This window comes from Homo sapiens, chromosome 5 (genome assembly GCF_000001405.40).
Source record: "Homo sapiens chromosome 5, GRCh38.p14 Primary Assembly".
NCBI classification, from domain to species: domain Eukaryota; kingdom Metazoa; phylum Chordata; class Mammalia; order Primates; family Hominidae; genus Homo; species Homo sapiens.
In genome coordinates this window covers 39,186,267-39,203,579 of record NC_000005.10, presented here as the reverse complement: position 1 = coordinate 39,203,579, position 17,313 = coordinate 39,186,267, and the positions used below count along the sequence as shown (strand labels likewise).

Sequence of the window (17,313 nt, the reverse complement as noted above, 5' to 3'; positions counted from 1 at the left end):
TTACTTATAAAAATGAGCAAGGTTTTTCTGCCACATCTCCCTGTTAACAAACAGAACTTCAATGTGGATAGAAGCAAAAAAAAATACTCTTGCAAACCACAGAGATGTATGTTAAACATGGCCATGCTGTATGAAGCACACAGCCTCAATTTACAGAAGAACTTACTTTCATTTTTTAAAGGTAGTTTCTACTTAAGAGTTTCAATTATAAAATATGGAAGAAATCTTTTTTTAGTCACTTCCATATTTTTTCAAGTGAAACTTTAAAAATAAATAATACCAAGTTAGAGTAAATCCAACAAGATAGCTAGAGAAACAGTGAGAATAAAGAAAGGATTTGTTCCTTAAGTAAAAATAAGCAAGTCAGTCCGAGATAAGCAAAAGAAAAAGTATATGCACAACCATAGCCTTCCTCTTTCAAGAAACTCTCGCAACTTATTTTGCCAGAGAGGAAGATAAATGTTACAATATCTTGCTAACCAATCAGCAACGCTGCAGGCCTCAAACCAGGAAGCTCTGTAAGGTATAGTATTTTAAACTGTGCAAGTAAGACTTTTGTCTCTCAGCTATTTTTTGTTCCCTATGTTTGTAGGATGGAAAGGCAGATGTAAAGTCCCTCATGGCGAAATATAACACGGGGGGCAACCCGACAGAGGATGTCTCAGTCAATAGCCGACCCTTCAGAGTCACAGGGCCAAACTCATCTTCAGGAATACAAGCAAGAAAGAACTTATTCAACAACCAAGGAAATGCCAGCCCTCCTGCAGGACCCAGCAATGTACCTAAGTTTGGGTCCCCAAAGCCACCTGTGGCAGTCAAACCTTCTTCTGAGGAAAAGCCTGACAAGGAACCCAAGCCCCCGTTTCTAAAGCCCACTGGAGCAGGCCAAAGATTCGGAACACCAGCCAGCTTGACCACCAGAGACCCCGAGGCGAAAGTGGGATTTCTGAAACCTGTAGGCCCCAAGCCCATCAACTTGCCCAAAGAAGATTCCAAACCTACATTTCCCTGGCCTCCTGGAAACAAGCCATCTCTTCACAGTGTAAACCAAGACCATGACTTAAAGCCACTAGGCCCGAAATCTGGGCCTACTCCTCCAACCTCAGAAAATGAACAGAAGCAAGCGTTTCCCAAATTGACTGGGGTTAAAGGGAAATTTATGTCAGCATCACAAGATCTTGAACCCAAGCCCCTCTTCCCCAAACCCGCCTTTGGCCAGAAGCCGCCCCTAAGTACCGAGAACTCCCATGAAGACGAAAGCCCCATGAAGAATGTGTCTTCATCAAAAGGGTCCCCAGCTCCCCTGGGAGTCAGGTCCAAAAGCGGCCCTTTAAAACCAGCAAGGGAAGACTCAGAAAATAAAGACCATGCAGGGGAGATTTCAAGTTTGCCCTTTCCTGGAGTGGTTTTGAAACCTGCTGCGAGCAGGGGAGGCCCAGGTCTCTCCAAAAATGGTGAAGAAAAAAAGGAAGATAGGAAGATAGATGCTGCTAAGAACACCTTCCAGAGCAAAATAAATCAGGAAGAGTTGGCCTCAGGGACTCCTCCTGCCAGGTTCCCTAAGGCCCCTTCTAAGCTGACAGTGGGGGGGCCATGGGGCCAAAGTCAGGAAAAGGAAAAGGGAGACAAGAATTCAGCCACCCCGAAACAGAAGCCATTGCCTCCCTTGTTTACCTTGGGTCCACCTCCACCAAAACCCAACAGACCACCAAATGTTGACCTGACGAAATTCCACAAAACCTCTTCTGGAAACAGTGAGTTCTTTTCTCGTTTGCTATTCAGTATGGTTTACTCCAAGGCAGAGAATGTTTTAGCTTCTGGGGAAAGTTTTGTAACAAGGAATGATTCTCTATATCTGGTACTCATATGTGTATAATGAATTTTCTTTGTCTTGTTTTTTTCTTTCATGTGGGAGGTCTGGGAAAGTAGGAAGTCTTCATTCTGTGAGAAAATGCCTTGGTCAGCTGGGGTTTTGTTGGGGGAAGGGAGAGGGAATGCATCCACTTCATTGATACGTGGTTTTGCTTAATGATAACCATTGTATTTACTTCCTTTGTTGGGTTTCATTTCTGTTGAATGAGACTGAGGTATGTTACCCCTATCAACACAGAGGAGTTAGACAGAAAATGAGCTATCCTGTAGGTCAGCAGTTCCCAAAGGGAACAATTTTGACCCCCAGGGGACATTTGGCAATGTATGGAGGCATTTTTGATTGCCACAACTGGAGGGTGCTACTGGCCTCTAGTGAGTAGAAGCTAGGGATGCTATTGAACATCCTACAATGGCCAGGACAGTCCCACAACAAAGAATTATTCAGGCCATAATGTCAATAGTACAGAGATGACAAGCCCTCCTTTAAGTGACTGCAAATATCCACACAATTCATCATGTTTCCTAAGCCCAGTATTCAAATGAGAAAGGAGCAGTACTCATGAAATGGTACTTTGTGTTTCACATTTTAGCTATTTTCCATTTCTCAGTATAAAGTTTTCTGAACTTTTATGATTCATAAAGTAATATATAGTTAGGAAAATGAGCCAGACAAAGGAGTACTTTACTCTCCTTTCGGGTAAATAGTTTAAATTTCTACCAGAGATATCACTGCAATTCTCTTGGATGTGGTACTGAGTGACTGCATGTAAGAAGCTCACACATGCCTGAGATGATTAATATTTTAGGTAAATGATGTGCAACTGTTGTTTATTGTGAGGGGGAAACAAGATGCCTACAGGTGACCACACTACTTGTAGTCGCATCTTTCTCCTTACCGAAGTATGGTCTAGTTAAAGCAATTCTAAGCCTAAAGGTTGTTTTTCGTTTTTGCACTGTAGAAACATCTTGCGATATGTTATCTTCCTGAGTTCAGTATTCTCCTTGTTCGTAAACAGCTTAGTGATCAAGTCCTCTGCTAATTCAAACACACAGAAAGCAAGTTTGGAATGATCCCATGACCATCTGTCTTCCAGAAAGGTTCATCCTTGTTTCACATTGCATCTCCTCCTCATCTGTCATCTTGTTTCATTACCAGGTCATAATTCAGAACTATTATTTTTGTGAGACTTTCTAAAAGGTCCCTTATTTCTCTTATTTCTTCACCTCGGATAAAAAATTTAGTATTATGACCTCCATTTTATGGCTGTGACTTCACACCAGGGAAGGAGTTCTGATGTTAGGCAGAAATCCCTGGGAACTTTCTTCCATCTTTGTTTCACTCCCGCTCCAGTGTGGGTGGTGGCAGAGCATGGTGGTAACACATGTTGCCCGGTGTCACGCTTTTCAGTGAGTTGCCACAAATGCTAACCAAGTCCTCTTTCTGACTCTGAAGGCCTGACAAGGTCTGATTTTTAGTGAAGTAAAGCTACAAGGGACCCAGGCAGAACTGCAGAGCAGACGGAGTTTATCCTTGTTCTCCTTCTCCTCTCCTTTGCAACCCTCCCCTGCTCCTGAATGCTTCCTCACTGTCAGTAGCCCATGCCACAGTTCACATTTTAAATCCTGTCATCAGTGTAACCCCCTCAACATCTGATGCCTTGAGATGTATTATGCTCCAAAATGTATCCTGTTCTCTATTCATTCACCTCTTCCACAAATCAAAACTCAATCCCTCTTAATCTAGATTGACCTCATTTGATATCTGGATTAAGCAATCTGATTCATAACTTTAAACTCTGAATAATACCCCTTTAAAGCATTCACCTTTTTAAAAAGCATTTGAATTCTTTTATCTTTTAAGTAGAAATTACATTCTGACTGAAAAAGCAGTAAGTGTAAAATGGTGTACAGTGAAGCTACCTTTAACCCTTGTCTGCCACTTTCTGGGTCTTTCCAGCCCCTACCCCATAGAAACCACTCTTCTTAATTTCTTATATGTCCATCTGAAGTTTCTTTATGTTCACAGAAGCAAATATGAACATAAATACTACCCCCCACCCCGGCTTTTTACTCATGAAGTAGAATATTATGTGCAATGCTCTGATCCTTGTATTTTTAAAATAAATAAATCCTGTATATCTTTCCACATTTTAATAAAGAGTAACTGATTATTCTCTAGAGTTGCATAATACTTCAGTAAATGGGTGACAAGCTTAATCAATTTAACAATTTGTGTTGTTTCCAAAAGCGTTCTTTTGCAACAATACTGCAGAAAATAAACTCGTGTATGTGTCATAAAGTAAGCATTTATTTTCTGAACACAAAGTTTTTTAAGTCAGGTCTGCTGACTCTTGATCCTGCCACTGCTATTTTTCTTAAACAATGCTAGAAATACTAAGTAATTTACCATTTCATTTAGGAAGGTTAAAATATATCAGAATTAGAAAGTATATGTTCATTTTATATAACTGGATAAGCAATATAAAGAAAAGAATTAAATTTCTGTTGTAGCAAAATTTTTTAAAATTCTGAAATTCTATTTTTTATAATTCTGGAGTATGTAAGTAGAAAATAAATAATTATTAAATAATTAAATAATAATATACATATACGTATACATAAACATGTGGTATATTGTACGTACAGTCTTTAGATGGGAAAATTCTTTATTAAGTGTAATTATCGCCCCCATTTCACAAATGAGTGTTGAGATGTGACATAACCAAATCATATATCTGAGGCTAAAATCCAAGTCTTCAGATTGCAAGTTTAATACTTTCTCCATGTACCATCGTGCCCCTGTATGTATGTTTGCATGTTTATGTTTAAAGCATAAGTGTATTATTTATTTATATAGAATATATATGCAGATATTCCTTGACTTGTGATCGGGTTACATCCTTATAAACATTCTTAAGTTGGAAATATTATAAACTGAAAACACGTTTAATATACCTAACTACCAAATGTCATAGCTTAGCCTAGCCCACCTTAAACATGCTCTGAACACTTACATTAGCCTACAATTGGGCAAAATCATCTCACACAAAGCCTATTTTATAATAAAGTGTTGACTATCTCATGTAATTTATTGAATACTGTACCATGGTTTCTACTGAATGCATATTGCTTTTGTACCATCATAAAGTCAAGTAATCATTAATTTGAACTGTCATAAATAGGGCACCATCTGTGTATGTATACATATTATTACTAATATGTACATGGGATTTTAACTTTTTTCAAAGGACTTTCAAAATGTTTATGTCTTTTATTACTTATAATGTCCCATGAATTAGATACAGCAGTTTAATGAACCCATTTTAAACCAATGTGCAGAGTTGCCAGGTTATCTATTAGTAATGTTATTAATGGTACAGAGCCTAGCATGAGAGTTGTTTGCCATATAATGTAGACTTCAAAGTCAGTGGACCTGGGGTTTAAGCATGACTAATGTACTAGCTATGTGACCTTCGCTTTACCTCTTTCCGTGTATGTCTTTCTTCATTTGAAAAAACGAGTATAATACCACCTACTTCGCCAGCACATTATAATCACTACATGAGATTCGTTGTAAGTGCTTAATACAGAATTTGACATATAATAGTATCAAAATAAGTGAGCATTGTCTATAATTTTATTACTTTTATTAGCATTAAAATTTTATCACCAGCCCCATGATATTCTGATCATCTTATAGTATAAATCATTTTATATTATACTATATTATTCTAGGAATCATGAAACTGCATTTTACTTACTTCTGTTTGTAATATAGAAATGTATTTGTGATTTATGATGCCAGAGTCAAACAATGATTGTTGGAAGAGAGGTTTCCCACCAGAAGTCCATGAAATTTCTGCGCTCAGATGCCTCCTTCCCTACAGCAAAGGCTGGTAGAGAGCAGTAGGCGGCACCCAAGTGGCACTAGGTCACAAGTGCCCCCAGATTTTGCCATCTCCTACTGGCTGAAGCCAAGCGAAGGCATCTGACTCAGCCAAGCAGAGGTGGAGAGGCTGCAAAGCCAGTATAGATGGCTGTTATCCCAAGACACTGGTATTATCAAAGGCAGTTTTCGAAGGTCATTGTTTCCAGAGTGCATTTGCTTTCCCCATTACCTGTCAACCTGGAAGAAATAAATAAATGTGGCCAATGGATTTGCTCTGGATTATGATTGGCCACAGCTGCTTAGATTGGCAACTTCCAGGGAAAATGCTTCTTAGTGTGCTGCTACAGACCCTAAAATTTTTTGAGATTGGAGTTTTTACATGAACTCCAACAAAAAATGCCCTAAACACACCTGACTAGGCATGAATTTTCATATAACAGGGCTTCCAGATAAATTATTTGCTGCATGGTATAATTAGAAAATTATTTATTTGCTTGTAATAAAATGGGAAAGAAGAGAGATTCTATGCTTTAGAAAAAATGAGATTCTATTACTAAATATTTATTCACTAAGATTTAATAGTTATTGACGGGAGCAAAATGAAATGCCTTGCTCAGTGAATGCAGAGACTCCAAAAAGACTATTTTTTCTTGTTAGAAGTAATTATACTAGTGTTCAAATTAACAAACATTCATCTAATAACTCTATATGCCTTTTAAACTAATACTGTTTTCATAGCCTTCTACCTCATTTCTTCCTTTCCAGGTTCTCATCCAATTCTTTAAACCTCTTCCCCAGATATACCCTCCATCTCATCATCTTTGCCCAATGTATTAACTGTTAAAAATATTCATCATTTATTGAGGACTTGCTATATACCACATACACATTATGCCGTTTATTCCTCTCAAGCCATGAATAGGAATTCTATGAGTAAACTAAAGCTCAGAGAGGTTAGGTAACTTGCCCAAAGGCATAACATGACTAAACAAGGCTGGGGTCAATCTCATGTCTTTCTGATTCCGCAGACTGTGTTCCCACCCGCATTCCACTTCCTCGTGCTGGGCTGCCTCTCTTCAAACACAGAATATCACAAGACAATGAATCAAGCATAAATGAAACTCCCAAAATCCTCATTCCTCTCCCTTTCTGTGGCCTTTGGTTGAAACATGCCTTTTGTTTGTTGTCTGTTTTGTAAATACCACTATAAGCTCCATGAAGACAGAAGCCAGTCTGCTTGCCATTCTCTCATTTGGAGTACAAAAGTAATATAAATTTTTGTTAGCTTCTCAAGTTTATTCTTTCACAGAATTCTATTTAACCAGACCGGGTGCGGTGGCTCATGCCTGTAATCCCAGCACTTTGGGAGGCCGAGGCGGGCTGAACACCTGAGATCAGGAGTTCAAGACCAGCCTGGCCAACATGGCGAAACCCCAAAAATACAAAAATTAGCCAGGCATAGTGGTGCGCACCTCCCAGCTACTCAGGAGGCTGGGGCAGGAGAATCATTTGAACCCAGGAGGTGGAGGTTGCAGTGAGCCGAGATTGCACCACTGCACTCCAGCCTGGGTGACAAAGCGAACCCTATCTCAAAAAAAAAAAAAAAAAAAGAAAGAATTATATTTAACTAGAATTTATTTACTCCCAGATTTTGTTCAGTATTAGATTTTAATACTCTATAGCTTAGCAATTGTTTTAACACAATAGATAACCCCTGCCAGTAGACTTGTACTCAACTGAATGGAGCTTGGACACAAAATAAATGTTATAAGAGAGGGTCTATCTTGCAGATCTATTGAGCTCCCTTCCTTGTAAACTGTAAGCTTGACTCTAACATGTTGCTTTCTGATCATGAAGCTAAATTTTTTTTTCCTAAGAACAATTTAAGGTTACAAAAGACTAAACGTTTTTTTTAAAAAAACCCAAAATATCAAAATATTCTCTGAACTAACCTTTCCTTTGCTTCCTTTTGGGTCCTGAGCCAGTTCTGAAAGGGCTTCTTCCCATGTGTCAACACAATGCCTCACCAAAGTTTGGGTTCATAAGAATCCCTGGCCTGACTATTGGTTTGCATGTATGATTTAGTAAAAACCTGCTGGGAAATATTCAGTTTGACCCTTTTTTCTAGTCTTGTTCTTAATACTGCTGAGAGACCAAGACTGATTTTTTCCATATGTTAGCTATAGGAATGATCAGTTAAGCACCTTGACAGCAACAGGTGTAAGGCGAGGGCCCCAGAGGGCATTAACAAAAGACTGATGGCCCCCTCCTCATCTGTGTATGTATCATTTAACTAATCCAGCCTACAACAACTTGAAACCAAAAGGTGCCTGGGCTATTTTCACCAGCAAGTAACTTGTTTCCAGGAGTGGGTAAGATTTTCCTTCACAGGCCCCAAAGCTATCACCTTTCTTTTTCCCCCCATTCTCCTTTTATGTGTACTCTCTTAACATGACCTTATTAGATATTTACATATTGAAAACTGTTTTATATCAGCATGTGGCAGTATTTTCCAAATTGTTGCTCCTAGCCACCACAGGGAAAAAGGATTCTATGTTCACATTTTAGAAACGTAGCGGTAAGTGCTATTCTTTAAAGCAAGATTTCTCCAAGTATTAATATGTCACTGTGCACTGGGAACGTAAGAACATGATACAAAAAGAAGAGATCCCGGGATGCTTTGACTGAAACGGCTCACAGACTGGACTATTACAGGACACTGAATCACTGGAGGCAAAGCTCTCTCATACACAGACTGGAATTTGGAGTTGCTCAACGGCGTGGTTCAGCTTCGGGTAACAGCCAGGCCCTCAGCACACCCTGCACGCTCGTTCTCCCAGGACCTGGTGCACACTTTGTGGCTGGTGTCACTCTTCTTTTTACTCCAGCCCGAGCCCAATTTATTCCACCCACCCTCCTTAATCCCTGAAAAAGCAGTTGTCCAGAAGACCTCCAGGGCTTCTTCCTTCTGGTGCATGTTGACGTGTCTGAGGAACACACTTACTATTAATCAGGCAGCTTACCTGGGTTTAACCCCATAATCGAAATGCCTCAGAAAGACTCTCTTCCCTTAACCACACTGTCCCTGGTCAAATTTTACGAACTACCCCTATTAATCTTCCCTCTTTGAAACTTCTTTCTTCTGCTCTTCTAAGATAAGCCAGCAAACAAACTGTTCCCTCTTGTTTCCTATCCCAGCAGCATCCGTTGGTCTTTTTTAATGCAAGATATCCTCCCTTCCTTCCTTCCTTCTTTCCTTCCTTCCTTCCTTTTTCTGTCTTTCTTTTTTATTTTTTGAGACAGGGTCTTGCTTTGTCACTCAGGCTGGACTGCAGTGGCACAATCACAGCTCACTGCAGCCTTGAACTCCTGGGCACAAATCCCTCCACTTCAGCCTCCCGAATAGCTGGGACTACAGGCACATATTACCACGTCCAGCTTTAGTATTTTTTAAATTTTTTGTAGAGACAGAGTCTTGCTTTGTTGTCCAAGATGGTCTAAAACTCCTGGCCTCAAACAATCCTCCTGCCTCAGCTTCCCAAAGTGCTGAGATTACAGACATGAGCCACTGCACCCAGCTAATGTTTCATTTTTATAAGCAGTCTACATGGTCTTTATTTCAAGATTCTGGCATTTAAATTTACTGTGGAGAAGTATGCAGACAACCTAAATTTCCCTCTTTGAAAATGATTTGCTTTTCTGCCTGGATTTCCAAAGAAATCTTTGTCCTTAAGGTCAAGAATCTTAGCCAGGATATGTCTGTGTCAATCATTTTATCAGTATTCTCTCAGGCTCTCAGGAATTTACTGTGCTATATGAATAGGGGTCACACTAGTTCTTTTGATCTGGCTGATGGATGACAAGTGCATCTGCAAGTTCTAATCCAGTGTGATAAATTTGCCTTCCCCTCAGAATTGCGATTTGAGTTCTGAGTGTGACTTTGAATCCACTCTTCTGTGGCATAAATGTTAGCTGTGCTCGTCTCCAGGGTAGTCCTTACTGGGGACCCAGATTCCGTTCCATTTTCTGAGATCTCATTCAGTGCCCTGTACCAGGGCAGGGCCAGCCCTGGCAGCTCATCCCCCTTCTGCCTCTCGTGTGATCCTGTTGTGGTATTTAGGACTTTTATGCTGAAGGATTTTCCTTGACCTTCCCAGGCTGCTCACTCACCTTACAGTTTGCTTCTCCAACCTGGAGTGTATTAGAGAGAATTCACAGGCTTGTCTAGAACCACTGTCTTCCCCCAGTATTGCTTCTGGATGTAGAGAACAGGTGGGAAGGTTAGCTCTCCTCCGGTGGCACCAGAACCTTCTATTTCTTCCCTTAGCCATGACTTTTTGAAGTTTATGCATGATGTTATCTTCCCTTTCTTGTGAGGTGACCGCTAGTGAGTTTTAGATAATGTTTGCCTTGACTTATTTTCTTTTTTAGTATTTTTAACTTGGGAATTGGAGGAGGGACACTCTGAAATTTCCCATCCTCATTTTTAAATACCAACTAAATACTTAAATTATAGTCTAAGGATCAACATTTCCAAAAAGATCATCGATTTGCTCCCTCACAAGGCAGACAGCAAGATGGCAGAACTATTAATAACATGCATTGAGTGCCCACCCCAAGCCTTGTTCCATGCTCTCTGGACCATGCTCACTGGTCAAGGACACTCAGGTGTCCTCTAACCCCTCCCCAAGTCTCCTACTCTGAGGAGTCTTGTGGACATGATCCCAGTGGGGTATGGGGAAGTTCCAGGTCTGGATGCCTGGACTGTGATAGAGTCTGCCCTCTCCTAACCTGCAAATGCCTTGAGGGCCATCATTGTGTAAGCCTTTAATCAGCCAATCCACTTAGAGGAGGAGGTGAACAGAACACTGGATGGGAGAGTGAGCCACGACAAGGGGAAGGCCCCTGGAGCTGGCCTATGAGAAAGGTAGATTCCTCAACTTCAGAGACTTTGCCATTGAAAAGTTCCCTTGGCACATTTAGGGTCCTGGTTCCCTGCTGCACACTCAATTTGACCTTCAAGATTCTTTCTGCTCAGGCACCAGCTATTCTTTTAATATTAACTTTAGCTCAACAATAGTCCATACTTATCATTTAGTTTACAGGGAAGAGTTCCCTTAATATAGTTATCCTCACCCTGCTTTAAGAGGAACTGTCGCTTTTCTTAGTTATGTGAAAGGAAGTTTCCAAATAGCATAGCTTAGGGCAATATGCCATGATTTGCCCTTGTTATAAGAACTCTTCCTGCAATCAAGAGGATAAAACTGATATATGTTTAAGCATCTCAAAAAATAAGAAAATATTGCCCATTCAACTGGCATTGTATCAACTTTAGTAGCCTACAAGAAGATATGACCACTTGTAATATAAATAAATGTTTTTACAGTTGCTGAAATAAATAAAATTTGAAATACATTACCCTCAAATAAAGTATGAGATGCATTGTGAGATGATTTACCTAATTTGATCAAAATTATATAACCTCTAAAATATTAAAAGCATTAAAATGAAATTATAATTTACTTCAAAAAAGGAGAGCGAAAAGAAATTTTAATGAAATACAAATACATATGAGTATAATAATTAAAAATAAAGGCTCTTTCTGACTTCCTTTCGATTGTGCATACACACATCAAATGTTTAAAACTAGCTAAGAATATTGGACAAATGTATGTGTTATGATTCAGTCTGCAGGAGGTGCCTTGTTTCATACAATCTGCTAAAACAATTTCCAAGCCAAGTCAAATAAAACCCTTTTATAAATGATTAGATGATAAATACGCTTTTGCCATTAAAGGCTTCTTCTTTGCCTTGATTAAAACTATTTCTGATATGATGGATTTCTATGCCAGAAGAATGTCTTTGTGCATGCTTTTTGTTTTGAAAACAAAATGAAATTGACTTCTTTAACAAAAGAGTAATTCCAGCTATTGGAAGAACAAAATTATGCCTCATGAGCAAAAATCCATCTATCTATTTTTACAAAAATACTGGAAATTTTCTGTCCTTTCAGACAAGGCACAATAATGATATTTATGGCGTGGCTTTAAAGTCCAGGGAATCATCTAGAACAATAGATTATTTGTTTTTCCAGCATCTGAGGAATAAGGGACAGAAAAAGAGTTAAAAAGTTGGAGACATTTAACTGCTATATTAACCACTAGTAAATAGATAAGAAATATGTCTCTTTGTTTAAATTGCCACCAAGGGAGAAAGATTATACTTCATTCTGTCTGGCATATCAAAGGTAGAAAAAAACATCTAGAACACTCAATAGCAATAGATATTATCAGGAAAAAGTAACCGAAGATGAGACATCTGGTTATAGAAAAAAATCGAAACCAAAAACCATACGAGGTTTCCTTCTCCCCAAAGTAAGAACCTGCATTGTAGAATCAGCTGTTTGTATTTATTATAACAGTCCACATCTCTCTGCAGCTGCACGACTGCACACCACAACGGCTTTTTCAGCCTTGGTCCTGGCAACAGAGCCTGTGTGTTTCCAGGGGTGGCAGTAGGTCTATGGAGGTAAAGAGGGACACGCTTCTCTTCTCTTTTCTTGTTTTTCTTATAATTATCAGAAGAATAAAACAGCTCCCCTGGTTTTCAAAAGCAACCTGTGTGGCGATATGATTAGTTACAACCAGGCAATTAAAAATCTGTCCCCAAAAAATGGCAAAGCAGATAAATCTCTCAGACAGACATCCATACCATGTTTGAGTATTTGTTTTTCTTATTCTGGAATAGAAGGTAATCGACAATTATTGGGAGGAGAAAGAAACCTGTATTTGTGGAAAAAGAATCTCCCTTAGTGTTTGTTTTACAATCCTGCAGTACTTCCTATTTCTCTTCGAAATTGTCACCTTTAAAAAGTTGAGGTTGCCTCATGTGCTCTCAGTCATTGAGGATCTAGATTGCAGCTTCTCCAGGACTTCTGTTTCTCCCACCTCTCCAGCCTCTCACTTCTGGTTCATCTAGAAACCAGATGTGAGATGTATGTGTGTAACAAAGCCAACATCTCTCTCTCACACACACACACACACACACACAAATAAGCATGGTTTGCTCCTCAGTCATTTTTCAAAAAGCAGTTTTATGTGGAAGGAGAATAAGGCAAGCCTTTAGAATGCATTTCAGTAATCGCTGTTTCTTTGAGTTAAAGAGAATTTTCTAGACCTGATACAAGCCATTTAACAAGCAGCAAGTTTCATTTCTTTGTAGCAAGGGGCTGCCTTTGATTTCTCTGAATCTGGGAGTTCTTAGTCCTCATGGGGAGAAATTAGTTGTTCTCGGGCTGAGTGGCATGCAACCAGGTACAGTGTCCAGTTCTCCCACTAGGTCTGTACCTACCAGCTGGGGGCCCTGCTCTCCCCACTAACCCTAAGATTGTCCATAGCTCCTCAGGATTGGGTGGAGCAGCCTGTGCTACAAAACCTAGCAAGGAACATTCCATCACCTGCCCCCAACCAACTTTCTCCCTCCCATTTTCCCACTTTCTTCTTCTTTCTCATCTTCTAAACTGTGTTCTTTCTCAAAAATCTTAATTCTTTTTTATTCCTTCAACCATCATTGCAAATCTCCCTTCTTTTCGGTCAGTGAAACCCACAGAAAATACTGGGCTTTATGGAGCAATCCATTTGAAGAGATTGCTGAATTCTGAACTACTGAGAAAGCACAGAGAATTACAAGCATCAACATTATTTTAAAGTAGAAAAGCCAATGTAGGAAATATAAAAGCTATGTTACCGTGCTCCTTAAAATCAGGACAAAGTTAGTTCCAAACATCATCCTGTGTGTTATTCAAAAAATCTGATGCTCTCTGCAGATCTATGAAGGAGCAACTGGCTCAATTTCTCAAGGTCACTTCTAGCTTCCGGCTCCTGCTTCTTCTAACTTGGATGGGTTTGGGGATTGCCCCCCTGACCCTGTGCTATACTGCAATAACCTAAACAAGGACTCAGCAGTTTCCCTTAGTTTTCACTGCAGACCACTTATCAAAGGCATGTGTGTGCAGGACAGGCTTCACCGAAGGTTTGAGGAGCCAGAGGGGTTTACATTGCACCTTGAGCTGGAAAAGTAAAATATTGGCAGTCTCCGTCCTTCAAAAACAGCAGGTATTTTGTAACTCAGGCTCCTGCCTTCTCCCTGTAGCTCACCCTTTTTTCTTTTCCTCATTTCTTTGACCCATCCTTCCCAAAGGCAAAAAAATAAAAGCCAGAACCACTCTTTCCATTTTATTACTCAGAATAGTTCAGCTATCTCCAAGCTGAACCCTTCAACACAGCTGTGGTCTTCCTCTGAATATTAGCAGAAGTTTCTTATTCAAAGGCCTCCTCCCAGAAGAAGTCAGTGGGAAGAGATGGCCAGGGGAGGAAGTGGGTTTATTTTCTGTTGCTATTGATAGTCATTGTATTACTAGAAATGAACTGTTGATGAATAGAATATATTCAGGACAATTTGGTCAATTCCAATGCAAGTACGGAAACTGAGTTGTCCCAAATTGATGTGACAGTCAGGCTGTTTCATCTTTTTTGTTTATTTTCAATGCCTAATAAACAGAGATCCTAAAAAAAAAAAAAAAAAGGAATTCCATAAAAGGCGTTCTTCTGCCAGACCTAGGATTTGAAAGCTTTCAGGTTCTTTCCTGAGTTAAAATATTACAAGGATACCCCAGACAACCAGCATCTCTTACTTGTCTTCCTGATCATTGTGAGCTCTAAATGGATCTCTGAGGAGAAAGATGACCAGGACAGATAGTGGTTCTAACAGTGAATGTGTCATATATTCAGAAGAAGCAAAAGAAAAAACACCAAAATTGTGCCTTCATCTTTCAAAGGTTCTTAAACTTCTAGTTGCATAAGAATGTCCCCAAAGTTTTTAGTTCAAGAGGTCTGGGATGGAACTCAGGAATTGGAATAGCTATCAAGTTTCACCAGATGATTCTAATGCAAGGTGTTCCTGGATCACATTAAAAAGTACTGTAGTCAGACGGGCGCAGTGGCTCACGCTAGTAGTCCCAACACTTTGGGAGGCTGAGACGGGCGGATTACCTGAGGTCAGGAGTTCGAGACCAGCCTGGCCAACATGGTGAAACCCCATCTATACTAAAAGTACAAAAAATTAGCCGGGCGTGGTGGCAGGCGCCTGTAACCCCAGCTACTTGGGAAAGTCACTTGAACCCCGGAGGCGGAGGTTGCAGTGAGCCAAGATCGCACAATTGCACTCCAGCCTAGGCAACAAGAGCGAAACTCTGTCTCAAAAAAAAAAAAAAAAAAAAAGTGCTGTAGTTGATGAGAAGGATTAGAGTGGGGGCAGTGGGGCTACGGGGGCTGTGGGGTGGTACGTTGGGGTTAGGTGTGCAAGGGTTGGTGGGGAGATGAAGGGTTTCTAAGCCATAGATATTTTTCTTAAAAGAAATACTGTAACACTGAACCAAGATACTAGCAGTTAGTGATTACATCAAAACATGCAAATGAATGAATAATCCATTTAAGCAAACAAGTAGGTCTGTGGTTGTTCTTGAAAATTTGCTTAGTGAGGGAAAGAGCAAAGGTGTTACTCAAATATCTAACATATTCCATGGCATAGCTCTGACCACTTGGAGTAGCTGAACAAGTTCTTTGCTATGGCAGATAATAACCCTTTAGTTACTGGATCACAAAGAGGTCCAAGGGTTCCTGAGGGATATCGGGGCCTTTGGAGGGCTGCAGCAACTTCACTACTTCAATAATTGGTAGATAGTGCACACCAACTGACCGTCAGCCTGGAAGAGTGGTGACGTGTTCTACCCACAGAACACCTGTAATCAACGACTCTTGCCACCCTCTCCCTCTTTCCTTTCTTTCTTTTTCCTGTTTTCTATTCCCTTTCATTTTCATGTCTTTGTTCCCCCTTCTGCCCTGCATTGGCTTGAGGTTTGTTCCACACAGTGCTTTCAGGTGGCACATATAATTACTATTCATTAAATATAAAAAAAAAAACTTAGCACTACTGGTGGTATGCAAGGCAAAGAAAAAAAATGGAAGCACTACAACAAATAGACTTTGAAAATCTGAATAACTGGGTGTCAGTCTAAGAGCTGCCTCTATGTTGATAAAGGCCATAATGGCGATGGAGCCCACAGTCCTGCCCAAGATGACCACACTTGTTCCTTTAGGAGCTCTCCATGCTTGGTGATACCCCTTCCCACCTGCCCAAACTGACCAGGAAGTCTCAGAGATGAGAGGAGCTAAAAACACTGCATCTTTTTATGCTCCCAAACTGATTATTGCCCAAGTGCAACTGTACTGGCCTAGTTACCCCACTATCTAGATGTCTCATCATTTAGTAACAATGTTCATCTTGTTCTTCAGTGATGTTTTAGTATGTTAAGTACCTAGTCTTCAAAATAGGCTTATACGGTACTTACAAGAAATTAGACCAATGCAAAAGCAAGCTAGGCAGTTGTCCTAAAATCAAGGTGCCTTTCTTTTATAATGCTTTATCGTTGGATCTTCAAAGATAAGCAAGTTGAAGAAAAACACTCTCAAGTTTTCATGCTGTAGACAGACTCCTGTGTTTGTGAGCCTAATGATAAAAGAAGAGGATGAATGTGGCACTGATAAAAACATTTTTTTCAAGCGTGTCACAGTATTTTTGTAAGCTGAAAGCTTTTTTTAAGCTTGCTTTGAAGTTGATAGGAGAACCTGCAAAAAGCGCAATGAGCACTTAACGATCTGTGAGAAGTGAGGTGTATTATGAAGACAGGACCACTTTTTTGTTTTGAAGAATGTAGGAGTTTTCACAATCATTTTTTTTATCATGAGTTAAGAGCAGTTGCTTTGTTATTAGAAAGACTTGGGTTCCAGTACCAGCTGTACCAATTACTGTAGGACCCCAAGGAGGGTTCTCGGCCTCTTTTAGCCTCAGTTTTCTCATCTGCTAATGGGGATAATAAGTCTACTATGTCATAGAATTATTGTTAGGATTAAAAGGAAATGTAGTAAAAACACGTAGCACAGTTCCTAGTACATCATAAAGAAAGACAATAATTGGCAGCAATTTAATTAATATTTTTAAAGGATAAAAGGAGAAAAAACTCAAATAAAGACCCAATGGAAATAGATGAATAATAGATGATAGCTATCAGCTGCTGCCTCAGGGATCAATAATAGTAAAAAAAAAAAAAAAAAAAAAAAAAAGCATCCAATTGTTGCAGGTGTTAAATCACATTTTGTTTTGCTTAAACATAACATAAAGATTTTCATTATCACATCAACTTGATCCTCTTGTAGATGCAGTCTCTTCCTGTGCCTCTCTTGCTGTATTACTCTGTTTCCTTAGGTATAAGTTCTACTCTTTGTTGACTTCAGAGTGCTGTTCTCTCAGTGTTGCCTTTTTTGTTTTGTTTTGTTTTTGAGATGGAGTCTCACTCTGTCGCCAGGCTGGAGTGCAGCGGCACTATATTGGCTCACTGCAACCTCTGCTTCCCAGGTTCAAGTGATTCTCCTGCCTCAGCCTCCTGAGTAGCTGGGATTACAGGCATGTGCCACCACGCCCAGCTAATTTTTGTA

The 17,313-nt window shown here is 39.8% G+C and overlaps 1 protein-coding gene across 16 annotated transcripts in view, besides 1 other annotated feature; it reads left to right on the top strand.

Moving 5' to 3' along the window:
• FYB1 (FYN binding protein 1) overlaps positions 1-17,313 on the top strand; it is a 169,277-nt gene that overhangs the window by 70,949 nt on the left and 81,015 nt on the right. For all 16 annotated transcript variants that reach the window (XM_006714464.4, XM_047417073.1, XM_047417072.1 and 13 more), the window contains one exon: positions 593-1,754. In XM_006714464.4, coding sequence (XP_006714527.1) covers positions 620-1,754 — 1,135 coding nt within the window. In that variant the 5' untranslated portion in view covers positions 593-619. The remainder of the gene's footprint in view (positions 1-592; positions 1,755-17,313) is intronic.
• Positions 8,739-9,033: an enhancer, noted in NCBI's record as "tiled region #12253; K562 Activating DNase matched - State 5:Enh". NCBI's record gives its function as "activates a minimal TATA promoter and a strong SV40 promoter by Sharpr-MPRA in K562 cells {active_cell/tissue: K562}" and the evidence as "EXISTENCE:reporter gene assay evidence [ECO:0000049][PMID:27701403]".